The sequence below is a fragment of the Homo sapiens genome, chromosome 5 (genome assembly GCF_000001405.40).
Source record: "Homo sapiens chromosome 5, GRCh38.p14 Primary Assembly".
NCBI classification, from domain to species: Eukaryota; Metazoa; Chordata; class Mammalia; order Primates; family Hominidae; genus Homo; species Homo sapiens.
This window is the reverse complement of record NC_000005.10, coordinates 23,159,080-23,173,951: the sequence shown is the minus strand read 5'-3', so window position 1 is coordinate 23,173,951 and position 14,872 is coordinate 23,159,080. Positions and strand designations below refer to the sequence as shown.

The window sequence follows — 14,872 nt, the reverse complement described above, 5'->3', positions numbered from 1 at the left end:
CAGAATGGGGAAAAAAACTTTTGCAACCTATTCATCTGACAAAGGTATAATATTCAGAGTTTACAATGAAGTTAAACAAATTTACAAGAAAAAAACAACCTGATACCGTTTGGCTTTGTCTGCATCCAAGTGTCATCTTAAATTGTGGTTCCCATATTGCCCACATGTCATAAAAGGGACCCGGTAAGAAGTAATTGAATCATGGGGGCTGTTACCCTTATGACGTTCTCATGGTAATGAGGGAGTTCTCAGGGGATCTGATGGTTTTATAAGGGACTTCTCCCCTTCTTATTGGCACTTCTTCTTGCTGCTGCCATGTGAAGAAGGATGTGTTTTCTTCCTCTTCCAACATGATTGTAAGTTTTCTGAGGCCTCTCCAGCCCTGCAGAACTGTGAGTCAATTAAACTTCTTTCTTTTATAAATTACCCAGTCTTGGCTATTTCTTAATAGCAGCACAAGAACTGATACACAACCCTGTCAAAAAGCAGGCAAAGGACATCAACAGGCCCTTCTCAAAAGACAAGTGACCAAGAAAGAGATGAACAAAAGCTCAACATCACTGATTATTAAAGAAATGCAATCAAAACCACATTGAGATACCATGCCGCCCAAGTCAGAACGGCAATTATTAAAAAGTTTAGAAGCAATAGATGTCGGGGAGGCTGCAAAGCACTAGGAACACTTTTACATTGTTGGTGGGAATGTAAATTAGTTCAACCATGGTAGAAGACAGTGTGGTGATTCCTCAAATGCCTAGAACCAGAAATACCATTTGACCCAGCAACCCCACTACTGGGTATATACCCAAAGGAATATAAATCATTCTATTATAAAGATACATACACTTGTATGTTCAGTGCAGCACTATTCACAATAGTAAAGACACGGAATCAATCCAAATGCCCACAAATGATAGACTGGAAAAAGAAAATGTGGTACATATGCACCATGGAATACGATGCAGCCATAAAAAAGGAATGAGATCATGTCGTTTGCAGGTACATGGATGGAGCTGGAAGCCATTATCCTCAGCAGAATAATGCAGGAACAGAAAACCAAATACTGCATGTTCTCATTAATAAGTGGGAGATAAACAATGAGAACACATAGACACATGAAGGAGAATAACACACTGGAGCCCATTGGGGGTATAGGAGGAGGGGCAGCATCAGGAAAAATAGCTAATGCATGCTGAGCTTAATACTTAGGTGACGGGTTGATAGGTGCAGCAAACCACCATAGCACATGCTTATCTATGTAACAAACCTGCATGTCCTGCACATACACCCTGGACCTTAAAATAAAATATAATTAAATTAAATTTAAAGAAAATTATATGGGGTAGGTTTTATCATGGAGTTGGGAAAATGAAATAAAGGAGAAGGAATTTTCCTATGGCCCCGTTGCTTATAAGCAATAAATAGTATTTGAATCCAGATTGTCAAACTATTGTCATGGGGAAAACTTAGGAACGACAACAATCAAGGCAACAGCCTGTCATATTTATGATGTGTTTGCACCTCATCCAGTTTGAGCTAAGCTGAATCCCAGGTAAAGTTGCTTTACTTTGGCCCAGGTGACCTATAACAAATCAAACCTGGGCAAGCTGCCTCTGGCCCATTCCCCTTATGTCTAAATTCAAATGAACTTCCTATTGTTCTTACCTTCTGACAGTGGTGCCAGGCCTGAATGGCAATGCACACATTAAAGATAAACACGCAAGCGAGAAAGACAAGGCACCAGTACTTTTAATTCATATTATTCTCCCTTTGAGCTCATCACCTGAGAATACCTCTCAGTGAAAGGGGAGAAAATTGCCAGTAGAAGATAAAGATTTATTACCCACTCCACCCTACCCCAAATCAAAAGAATTTTGCATGAACTAAAAATTAAACTTTAAATCCTAATGGGTAGAGGCAAGAAGAGAGAAACAGTATGGGGTTTCTGGCAAGAGAGATGTTGGATGGAAAGAATACTGAGAGTGTGAGAGAAGACAGAACTGAGAAAAGAGGCAGAGATAAGAAATGGGACATGACTCATATCGTCAAAAGGAGGGAGATGAATGGATGGATGAATAGGAAGCCAGGAATTTGGAAGTTGATGGAATACTTTTGTGATCAGAATTCTCTTTAATTCATTCTCTCCTAGATTTCTTCAGTGATTGACTGTATCACTATAGCAGTTCAGGCACCTCTGTAGAGGGGCAGCACACGGTTTCTGGGGAATATCTGATTACATTCAAATCTTGGCAGTGCAACTTATTAGCTCTGCACCTTTCATAATTTAACTTAATTTCTCCTTACCTCAATTTCCTCATATTAGAAATGATTCCAAATAAAATGTACAGAGGAGTCTTATGGATGTTAAATGAGGTAGAGAAGTTCCTGTCACATCAGTGAGGCTTGTAGACGTTAATGAAGTAGAAGAGTTCCTGTCACGTAAGTGCCCAATAAATACTAGCCATTACTAATATATTACTAATCTTGCTTGTCCTACATTTTTCCTCTTTATAAGCATTATCTCTCTAAATCACACCCAAACTTCTCTTTCTTCTGCTCCATCTACACTGTGACATGACAAGAATGATTCAAAGCCCAAGTCCCCTGAATTGATATATAACCTCCTCTGGGTTTTGGCTGCTTTCTGATTTTCTACCTGAAACTTTCTTGGAATAGCTGCTCCTGCAACACAAAACACTTACATCCCTATAAGAATGTTGTTGCTTCTCATCTCCTTGCCTTGTTAGCTGTCTTCTGCATGGAGGTTTACTCTTCACTGTGCATTTAATTCTACCATTTATCCAATATCTCAATCAATATTGGCATTAGATAAAAATCTGAATTGGCTAACTATTGATGTGTAACATCATTACCAAATATCTAGCAACTTAAAAACGCATACACACATTTACTTAGGGCCCAGTTTCTTAGGGCCCAGCTTAAGTGAGTCTTTAGTCTTAGCCTCTTTCACAAGACTAATCAGGATGTCAGCCGGGCTGCATTTATCTCAAGACTCCACTGAGAATAGATCAATTTTCAGGTTCACGTGGTTGTTGGCAGAATTGAGTTTCTTTTGGTTGTTGGACTGAGGAACTCATTGTCTAGCTGGCTGTTGGCCAGAGGCCACTCTTAGCTTCATGCTAGATGGGGTAGGGGAGGAAAAATAATTTCCCCTCTATTTTTCTGAGTTTTTAGCTGGGAGTCTGTGACATTGTGAAATCTATATTTGATCTTTTACTTCATTTTCTGGAACACAACTTCTAAAATCCTTAGAATCTCCAAAATGATGTATTTCTGTATGCTAATGAGTCGGCTGGCGGCCGGAAGCCCCTAGCTGGCTTCAGGTTGTGGGTTGGTCACCAGAAAGTCCAAGGAATGATTAGAGGGTTGGAACATTCAAATCTCACCCCCTAACCTCAGAGGAGGGGAGTAGGATTGAAGGCTAAGCTGATTGCCAGTTCCCAATGGTTTAATTACTCATGCCTGAGTAATGAAACCTCCATAAAACCTGAAAGAACAGGGTTCAGAGAGCTTCCAGATAGGCAATCACGTGGAGGTTCCTAGAAGGTGATATACCCAGAGAGGTCTTAGAAGCTCTGTGCCCCTTCTTGTATCCTTTGTAATATCTTTTATATCTTTTATAATAAGCTAGTTGATGAGGCACGGTGGCTCATGCCTGTAATCCCAGTGCTTTGAGAGGCTGAGGAGGGAGAATCACTTCTGGTCAGAAATTTGAGACAAGCCTGGGCAGCATAGCAAGACCCTCAACTCTAAAAATGTAAAAATAAAAATAAATTAGCTGGACAGAGCAGTGTGTGTCTGTAGTCCCAGCTAGTCGGGAAGCTGAGGTGAGAGGATCACTTGAGCCCAGGAGCTTGGGGCTGCAGTTAGTTATAATTGCGCCACTGCACTCTAGCCTGGGTGACAGAGGAAGACCCTATTTATTTTAAAATAAACAAACCAGTAAATGTAAATAAGTATTTCTCTCAGTTCTGTGAGCCACTCTATCAAATAAATCAAAATCACAAAGGGGTCATGAGAACCCCAGCTTGAAGCCAGTCATTCAGAAATCCTGGAGACCCAGACATGCAATTGTTATGTGAAAGGAAGACAGTCTTGGGAACTAAGCCTTCAGCGTGTGAGATGGATGATGCTCTTTCTAGGTGCATAGTGCTCGAATTCAGTTAGAGCACACACCCAACTTGTGTCCCCTGCAGAACTGGTTGCTTACTTGATGTGAGGGGGAAAACTCTCACACCTTTGGTCCGTCACAGAAGTTTTCTGTATTGATTGTTGTGGTGTGATAGCAGAGGAAAAACAGTTTTTTGTTTTTTTGTTTTTTTGTTTTGTCACAGACCCTAATGACAAAAGACAGATTAACAAGAGAAAAACAGAAGTTTATTCACATGTATATTTCCTTTTTTTTTTTTTTTTTTTTTTTTTTGAGATGGAGTCTCGCTCTGTTGCCAGGCTGCAGTGCTGTGGTGTGATCTCAGCTCACGGCAACCTCCGACTCCCTGGTTCAAGTGATTCTCCTGCCTCAGCCTCCTGAGTGGCTGAGATTACAGGCACGCACCACCACGCCCAGCTAATTTTTGTATTTTTAGTAGAGACAGAGTTTCACCATGTTGGCCAGGATGGTCTCGATCTCCTGATCTCATGATCCACCTGCCTCAGCCACCATAGTGCTGGGATTACAGGCATGAGCCACTGCACCCGGCCAACATGCATATTTCATATATACATGGGTGATACCCAGGGAACCAGTAATTCTCAGAAGAGGCTTAGAACTCTGGCTTATATAGTATAGCAACATCAACAGAGCACAATACATTTATAGAGAAGCGTCTAGACAAAGAAAAGAGAGTTTCGAAGGGGTGCAAATCATGAGAAGGTAAATACATGAAGAGCAAATCTTCTTAGTAAAGTTACTGAGTAAAGTAACTGTCTTCTATTATCAAACTTTGTTGTCATCACCACCCTCTGCCACACACCCTAGGAGTGAAGGGACACCTTTGTAAAATTATGTCCTGCTCTGAGGTCTAGATAGAGAGTTCAGAGAGCCTTTCTTGCATCTGCTTCTTCTCAATGAACTTTAGCTCAAAGTAACCCTTATGTCAAAGGAGCAGATTTTATGGAGGTGTATTTTGCTGTCTTTTAGTGTGCCTTTGAAGGATTGCAATTGCTTAATTGCTTTGTAAAAGCCAATAAGGGCAGTGGTCCCCCACCAGTATGGCACCAGGAACCAGTTTCATGGAAGGCACTTTTTTTCACAGACCAGGAGAAAGGTGGGGATGGTTTCAGGATGAGCCAATGGTGGGGATGGTTTCAGGATGATCCAGTGGTGGGGGTGGTTTCAGGATGATCCAAGCACATTACATTTATTGTACCCTTTCTTTCTATTATTACTACATTGTAATATATGATGAAATAATTCTGCAACTCACCATAATGTAGAATCAAGGGGAGCCCTTGGCTTGTTTTTCTGGAATTAGATGGTGCCAGCTGGGGGTGATGGGAGACAGTGGCAGATCATCAGGCATTAGACTCTCACAAGGAGTGCCATTACCTAGATTCCTTGTATGCACAGTTCACAATGGGGTTCACACTCTTATGAGAATTTAATGCCACCCTTGATCTGACAGGAGGCGGAGCTCAGGTGGTAATGCAAGCAATGGGGAGTGGCTGTAAATAACAAATGAAACTTTGCTCCCGCCCACTGCTCACCTTCTGATGTGTGGGCAGCTCCTGACAGGCCATGGACTGGGACATGGCCTGGGGTCTGGGGACTCCTGAGTAAGGGAATGAGTTTATTAGCAAGATACAGGTTACAATTTTCCTGACTCCTCTCTTCTAGGAAGCCCTTCTTCCCATCCAAAGCAGATGAAAGTAATCAGAATTATCAAATTATTTTATAGCTATTTGATTTTTATGTAAAGTCTTAACCCTAAACCTTGGCGTCCATGACATGGAGACCTGTATCTTAATCTACCCTTATTTTTTGCAGCACAGTGATGAGCACAGAATAATTACTTAAAATGTGTATTTAATAGATTCAGTAATTAAATGTGTAGATGTATGGCCACTCTGTTTTCGATAAGTGAGAAGTGTCTTGTCTTTCCCATAAAATGAATTCTTGTCGGCCCAAAGAGTAGTTACACTATGATTCAGATGGCAGATGTATATAGTAGCAAACATTAAATAGAAGAAAACAGCCATGGCTCTAGTAGAGAAACCTTGAAGTGTAATTCAAGAGCACTAACTAAATGTGTTGTAGCAGAGATGAGCATGTCAATAGATATTATTGGAAAGCTGCTGCTGTTTGCTGTTTACCCAGGATGTCTGCACAGTTGGGCTCCTAGTATCAGTGAAAACTGAGTTAACACACAAAAAATGCTCATTGAATTCTTCAAAAAATTGTGAAACATTACTACTTAATGAATTTTGAGAACAGTGAGTCAAAATGGAAAGCCATATTACAAGCATAACACACAGAGGGAAAATATGTAACCATTTTCTTTCTGTACCATATTTCTGAATGTGTGAATAGTTATACACTGTCTTATAATGGAATTATTAAATTGGGTTACTTTATTTTTGAGTGAAATCCTTAAGATCAATTAGTAGTTTCTGTAGGAAAATAAGAGCAGGAATCACAATGTGTTGGATTCAACAAGTATTTACAACATAAAACTTGTGAGTTCAAGCTCAATGCCACACATTTTAAAATGATTCAGGTCTGAATAAGGTATGAGTTTTTGTACTATAAAAAGATAATTATCAAGTTGATTCAAAGACAGTCATTAATTCTTACATAATTAAATATGAAAGGCTGTATTTTCTTGAACTTTCCTGAATTTCCATTTTCTCATAATGATTTTTCCTTGCACCTATGTGGAAATTTCCATTTAGCGCTTAGTTAAACCTTAGTTACAGGGAAATAACAACCAGTAGCGCTCCCAAAATCAGGCTCAGGCCTCTAATCCCAGCACTTTGGCAGGCCGAGGCAGGCGGATCATGAGGTCAGGAGATCGAGACCATCTTGGCTAACACGGTGAAACCCCGTCTCTACTAAAAATACAAAAAAATTAGCCGGGCGTGGTGGCGGGCGCCTGTAGTCCCAGCTACTTGGGAGGCTAAGGCAGGAGAATGGCGTGAACCTGGGAGGCGGAGCTTGCAGTGAGCCGAGATCGTGCCACTGCTCTCCAGCCTGGGCGACAGAACGAAACTCCCTCTCAAAAAAAAAAAAAAAAGAAAAAGAAAAAAGAAAAAAAAGAAAAAGCACGTGGCAGTGTGCATGAAACGTTGCTGGGGTTTCTGTTCAGTTTTCTGTGACTGCTCCTCAAAGTAGAGGTCCATCTACTCAAAGCCCTGTAAATACATTTTTATCTGTATTCTGTTTGAAGTAGTTTCTTTGAGAAGTACATCCCTCTTGCATTTCAGAAAAAAAAGAAAAAGAAAACAAAACTTTGATTCTTGCTAAACTATTTAAGAAATCACTGCATTTACTTCAGCTAGCATTAAAATTTTAAATTCAAGATTTTTTTGTGATTTTAAAATAACTCACAGAAGAAAACAACTATTGCATTCTTTAGGGAGGGTCATTTTGAAATCCAAATTACAGAGCAAACAGCAAATTTAAAATATACTTTATTGCTAGTCTTTTTTATGAACAAATTTTTAATACCATAAAATTAGGAAATGTGAATTGTTTACCTGTGTGTTTTCAAACTTTAAATTCTTCAGTTGCATTTTCATAAAAACACATTTGCCAGTGTTCTGTGGAATTGCATTTTTATTTATTTTTGGTGATATGTTAAAAATGAAATCAGTTCTTTCTCGTCTTGCATTTGGTTTTCATATAGCAACAATACAAGAATCATTGTTAAAGTAAAATATAGCAATGCAGTTTATAATTTCACTAGAAGAATCATGTCAATCAATAAAACACAGGGAATGTGAAATGCTTCTTTAACTAAATTAATCAGAGCTACAATTTGGTGTTCAATAATCTCTTAGGGATTACATAAACTTTTAAAATTTGTTAGCATTCTGAATACAATTCCTTACTATTCAATGATGCAATCTAGGTAACCATCATTTTTACTGAATAATTATTTTATCTAGATTTTGAAATTAAACAAATTAAAGTAAGGAATAATTAGTATGTTGGTTTCTTAAAGGGAGAAACAAGAGTAGCAATACAATTTGTTTTCACTAATCAGATAAATATATACTCAAAAATGCAAATAGTATGTAAAAATATATATTTATCTCCACCATAATTGAGAAATGCCGAGTATAATAGTAAAATGTATTTAAAAATATTTTTGAGAAAAATTAATTTTAAAACATAATCCAGTCTAAGAAAAACGTTTAATTTTTAGTAAATCACAAAAAATACTATTACTAATATAATAGATAAGTTTACTTTTTATTATATTATGTAGTTTAGAATTTATCTTTTTTTTTTTTTAATTTTTAAAGACAAGGTGTCATTCTGTCACCCAGGCTGGAGTGCAGTGATGTGATCATAGTTCCTGCAGCCTTGACTCTCTGGGCTCAAGGAATCTTCCTGTCTCAGCCCCCAAGTAGCTGGGACTATATGCATGTGCCATCATGCCAGGCTAATTTTTAATTTTTTTTTTTTTTTTTTTTTAGAGATAGAGTCTCACTGTGTTTCCCAGGCTGATTTTGAGCTTCTGGCCTCAAGCAGTTCTCCTATCTTAGCTTTTCAAAGTGCTAAGATTACAGGTGTGAGCTACAATTCCTGACCTGGAATTTAACACATTTTGACCATTTCTTCTGACCTCCTGGGTTGCTTCTCTTTTGTTCTCTCTCTTTCTCTTCTTTCCTCTCTCTCTCATACACACACACACACACACACACACACACACACATACACACACACAATATAATCCAGAAAGTTTTTGTTGCATCCTTTTAAAATGTTATTACTGTATTTTTTTAAATGATTCCTTTTTAGATGATACTAACCCATAAAATTTTATAAGGTTTTTATTCTAAACATTTTCATGTTTATGAAATGAGTTATTACTTATACTCTGTCTTTCCAAAATACCTTGTTTTTTATTCTAATGTATTTTGCCTTTTCTTAAAGGATAAATTATTTAAACAAAATATTTTATATTCTTCAGTTCACTGATAATTTATCAGTTTTGAAAAAAAGCATTGTAAAATAAAAAGGAATATACTAAAATATCCACTCACTTGACTTTTTATTCTGTATAATTATTTTATCATCCAACTTAAATTCAAAGTTAACAATTAAAAAATAAGCGAAATTTTAGTTTTAGTTATCTCACGGTATTTAAAAATACAGAGATAGAAAAAGAATGACAATGTAATAAAATGTTTTAATTCTTGTTTTATATGCATTCATTTTTAATTCCAGAGTTTGGCAGATTTTTGTGATTAACGTTTTCATGATGCGTGTTATTTTGTAGGTGCCTAGTTTCAATTTCCACCTGAAATATGACACCATTCAACAATGTCATTTTAGAGAAGATTAAGTATCCTGGTATGTGACACAGTGAACTCGATTTTTAAATTATGCACCTTGAAATAATGAAAACAAAATAAAATGGAAGCTCTATTTGTCAGGAGCCTGCTATCTGGTATGTAAATCATTTACAGCACTTGTCCTTTTTTTCTCGCTGCTCATTTTTCCAAACTAACTTGAGTACTTTACTACATTTAGCTATTTCTTAACTTCTCTGTGTAGATGTTTAGTGAAGAGGCAGAACACAACTAAATACAACTGGAAAAATTTAGCTAATTTTTATTTATATACCTACTTGGTTCACTTGTCCCAGATACTAAGAAAAAAAAAAAACAACCTTGAGATTTCAGGAGGCAGAAATTACCAAAATCATATTTTTGTCTTCATAGTGCTTTATTTGAATTAATTTTGTGGCCCTAAACTTAAGTCAGATATGGTTTCCCTGAGGATCTTCCCAAAGATAGAAGAGTTTTTTTGCAGTTGGTGCTGGTAGTAGCTGTGGCGGTGAAGAGAATTGCCTGAATAAAAGAAGTAACTTGAACTTACAGGAATAATTGAGCAATGATTTATAGGACTTTGACTGGGATAGTTCTCCTTTATGACATGGATCTTAGGACTATAAAAATAGTGGCACCCTTACTTTTGAGAGTGTTCTGGCCTAGGTGGTCAGTTTTATGCACACTTTGTAAAAACTGAACGGTTATACAAATATGAAACTAAGCAAAGTTTTATATTTGTGTAACCGTTCAGTTTTTACAAGGCTGTTTTAATTTTGCCATCATATTCCATTACTGTATTAGGAATATTATGATGCAGGAAGAAAAATAATTGTTATTCTAAGTTCACCCACAAAAATATTGTATGAAAATATTAGGCACCTGTTTTATGTGCCTCAGTTAACTGAAGTAATGAATCCAACCAAGGTCTTTTATTCCAATTTTGTTGTCCTTTCCATTATAAAATACTGTGATAGGTCAACTCCCCCAAATATCACCAGATAGCTTGTTAATATAATAAAATACATTTATTGGAACTCATTGTCATAACAGAAAATACCATCTTAACAAAATTTCAGCAGTCTCTCAGAAAAGGAAACACAAAAGAAAGATAATTATAAGGTTTTAAAGTCTGGGTCAAGTGGTTTAAGGTATGTATATCTAACAAGGTGTTGAATTGGCTTAGATTTGACGATCAATGTTCACTACATAAATGTGTAGGATTGGTGGGCACAGTGAGGTTAGCATCTCGAAGTGAATCTTGATAAATGATTGTTGGATATGTTTGCTGTTTCCTCAGGGGAGCAGACTCTTGTCTAAGATAATTTGATCTCCAGGAATTTCCCGAAGCAAACAGTGAAGTTATTAATTTTTGTATCATCTTACCTTAACTGATAACTGTTTCATGACTGCAAAATGTTGGTTCAGGTGCTTTCAATGCTTAGCTTCTCCTTACGGTCGTTCATCACTCATTCTGAAGGATTCAGCATGGTCATCTGTGGACTTTACTACTTCAGAGCTGTACTGTTCTTTGAAGAGTAACAACGCATATTATGTTTCTGATGGTGGCGATTTCAACTGCTGTATACTTCAGATTTGCCTGTTTTTGTTGGATGATCTTTTGTTGGATCATTTGATGCGAGAACAGCTTGCAACAACATTTCAAACTCCAAAAGTCATATATTTTAACACCATAAGAAATAGGTTTTCTAGAATTTATAGTCCACTTCTAAACCAGAATCTAAAGAGTGCTTGAAAAGAACAGATCCCATTCTTTAGAGTTCATGAAAAAAAAGGGGGGTGTCAATCATGTTACTGAATTTAATGCTTTATTTGCTTCCCAGTTTTCTTAGAAATATAAATATCTCAAAAAGTATATAGAAATTTAAGTGTGTTCTTCTCATAAAATAGTGTATGCTCTTTCTTTAGAGGCCCGTATTATGTTTAAGGTTCACCATTAATTTTTCAAAAAGCGAAGAGAAAGGTTCAGTCTCAACTACATTAGGATTTACTAATGGATGCTGTCTAAAGAAGATAAGAAGAGTATCCCTAAAGCGCCTAATAGACTATTCTTTCTTTGCTTGCAGGACTATATTAGGGTCTACTCTACTCACGAAAGGAAGATATTGGAAATAGCCTTCAAAAGATTTTGTCCAAGTTCTACATATTTTCCAAACCCCCTTGTTTCTTATGCAAATCCAGCTTTCTTAAATCATTCTCGAGGTCTCATAATTCTTCATTTTCTTCCAACTGTTCTGTGTTTAAGGATCCTGATAACATATGGACCAATTGATATAGACTTAAGAATAATAGATTATATATTGTTAAATGTATTCTAAATCCCTCTGTTAATCTTTTTTTTCTCTATCTTTTCTAGGCTTTGGAAAGTCCTTGATAATCGTTCTCAGCACAGAAGGAGACCAGCTCTTAATATCAACCTTGCCCTATTGAGAAAGGAATTTACCCTTAAGAGGTAAATTAGCTGTGTAAGTGTTTGGGTAGCCATAAAAAAGGAAAGTAGGCCAGGAAGAGAGTAACAGCTAGGGGTACCATTAAAGTGTAGGTTGGGGGAAGAGAAACAGTAGTGTAATGGCCATTAGATTCAAATTGTGCTTGGAGTATCTAACATAAAGACAGTTTTAACTTTTTTACATTTATATTTACCTTTGTCAATAAAATCATTGTATAATCTTAATTTATTTTGTAAACTTCCTTTTAATTCCACTTCCCCCAATTCAGACCATTAAATGCTTCTGTCATTTTTCTTTGATTTCTAAAGTACCTCTTGAATGAACAATTTTGTTCATAATAAAAGATCTTCAAAGTGGCAATTGTAATGTTAAATTACCATTATTATTATCATTATCATTATTATTATCATTATTATCATTATTATTAAAAATTGTAACATTTAGATGATATTTCTAATAACTAGGATTATAATGTAAATACACGTAATTAGTAGGTGTCTGGCACAGAGAGGATAGACTTAGATTTATAATAATATGACATCATTAAAACTACACCAATCAGTAATATTGGTAGTTAACAGTAGTGCTTGATTGCACAGTCTCTGACTTATGGTTTCATTGATAAGTTTTCAACAATACCATGGGTTTATTGGGATGTAACCCCATCATAAATTTAGGAGCATCTGGACTTATGATGGTTCAAATTATGAATTTTTATTTTTACAACGGGTTTTGGGGGGTAATAAATACATTTTCAACTTCTGATATTTCTTATTTATAATAAGTTTATCAGGACATAAGCACATTCTCAATTAGAGAAGCATCTGTACTAGTTTGGATTGTCTTAACAAAGTACCATAGAGTAGGTGACTTAAACAACAGAAATTTAATTTTGTATAATTCTGGAGTCTATAAGTCTGAGATGAAGGTGTCAGCAAGGTTGGTTTCTTCTTAGGTCTCTCTCCTTGGCTTATTGATAGCCATCTTCTTCCTGTGCCTTCACATAGTATTTCACTCTGTATATCTGTGTCCTCATCTTTCTTCATATCAGGATATCCTAATCTTTCTTCTTATTGGGATACCACGTGTATCAGATTAGGACTCATCCTCACGGCCTTTCTGATCCTTAATGACCTCTTTAAATATTCTATTTCCAAATACAGTCACATTCTAAGGTACTATATGTTAGGACATCAATATGAATTTTGGAGAGGGGAACAATTCAGCCCATAATATCGATATATAAGCTATTACTTCAGGTGAACAGATTGTTATTTTACATAAATTGGTTTGCTGGAATTTTCTGAAGCAAATAGTCGTGCTTTACAGTCTTATATTTCCTAGGAAAGTGTTGATGTGACACAGGTATTCAACTTTCTAATTACTTCATGTTTTTAATTTAGTGAGTTGTCTCTGCTATTACCAGTCCAGGATTTATCCCTGCCTTCACACAGTGCGAATTTAAAGAAGTTACTTAACCTTTATAAAGCTCCTCTTTCAAGACATTACCAGTAGCTACTTCATGAAATTCTTGTGAGATGTAAGAAAATAATACAAAATTAGCCAGGTGTGATGGCACACGCCTGTAATCCCAGCTACTCAGGAAGCTGAGGCAGGAGAATCGCTTGAACCTGGGAGGCAGAGGTTGTGGTGAGCTGAGATCATGCCATTGCACTCCAGCCTTGGCAACAAGAGCAAAACTTCATCTCAAAAAAAAAAAAAGCCACGAAAATGTATGCAAATCTTTTAACAACGTGTCCCAGTAAATGTGAGCTAGGAGGGTGATGATGACGATGATGACGATGATGACGATGCAAGGGCTACAGAATTATATATTTTAGAGTTGAGTTTCAAAGAGAAAGTAACACCTGGAGTCTTTGAGACCAGAGGTTGCTTTTTTTTTTTTTTTTTGTAAGAGTAAAGGATAATAAAAAGGAGTCTTACCTATAATGTGATATGGTGAAACCTCAAGTGTTTCAGAAACTATTAAGTGAGCATTAATTATGTGGAAAATTTTTATTTTCTTTAATTCTTAAATAAACCAGTAAAACTGATCATTTTTACTTTAGCTGTTGAAGAGAGCAAAGATCATCTTGTAGCCATCAAGCAGATCATCCAGAGGTAAAACTCCTTATGTGAGGAATTCAGAAGTAATTAGACTTCTCTATTATCTAAAGCAGGCTTCAGGTACTAGGCTTCTTTCCCCAGAATTTATAAGTAGAATTTCTATACATCTACAGAATGCATGCATATCAAAACTGATTGTGTAACTCTTGCTAACATTAAGGCACCAAATTGTCTACAAATGTAATCATTTATCATGACCTAAATGGCAACTATGGTCCAAATTACCCTTCAGCTCCTGCTTGAAGGTCCATAAATACCTCTAAGGAAAAAATCCACCCTGGTGCTCTCAGTCCTGTCTTGCTAAGGCTCCCTGCTGCACTCTTCTGCAGCATTCTTTCTTTCTAAAGAAACTTTTCTTTTTTCAAACCTATGCTGTTGGTAAATTCTTCTTACCAACTCACGAGTTGGCCACTTTCTGATGCTGGGACTCTGACACCTCACCCAGCAGCTACAAGCAAAAAAGAAAAATAAAAAGACTCAGATGCTATTTAATGTGTTCAAGTGTATTCAGACAATGAGTGAAAGGGTCAGAAATTGAACCTAGACCTGTCTGATTTAAAAACTCATGTTTTTAGGCAGTATTTTATTTAATCACTAAGTTAGCAAATATTAGAAAAGAAGACACAGTAATAAACTCTTTTTTTATCTCTTGAACGTATATTTCCTTTTTTATTAGAATATATTTGGACTTATTTCAACTAGATAAGTAGCCACAAGAGAATCACCCAGATAAAAGTTTGACTGCCTGATTATGC

At 36.5% G+C, this 14,872-nt stretch overlaps 1 long non-coding RNA gene across 1 annotated transcript, besides 1 other annotated feature; it reads left to right on the top strand.

Moving 5' to 3' along the window:
* Positions 1-2,356: 2,356 nt before the first annotated feature.
* On the top strand, positions 2,357-14,108 carry LOC105374687 (uncharacterized). The gene is made up of 4 exons (XR_925851.1): positions 2,357-2,439; positions 9,468-9,638; positions 11,897-11,992; positions 14,060-14,108. It is a non-coding gene; the product is annotated as an uncharacterized LOC105374687 (long non-coding RNA).
* Positions 3,998-4,292: a silencer, noted in NCBI's record as "tiled region #8980; HepG2 Repressive non-DNase unmatched - State 24:Quies, and K562 Repressive non-DNase unmatched - State 24:Quies". NCBI's record gives its function as "represses a minimal TATA promoter and a strong SV40 promoter by Sharpr-MPRA in HepG2 and K562 cells {active_cell/tissue: HepG2 | K562}" and the evidence as "EXISTENCE:reporter gene assay evidence [ECO:0000049][PMID:27701403]".
* Positions 14,109-14,872: the final 764 nt, after the last annotated feature.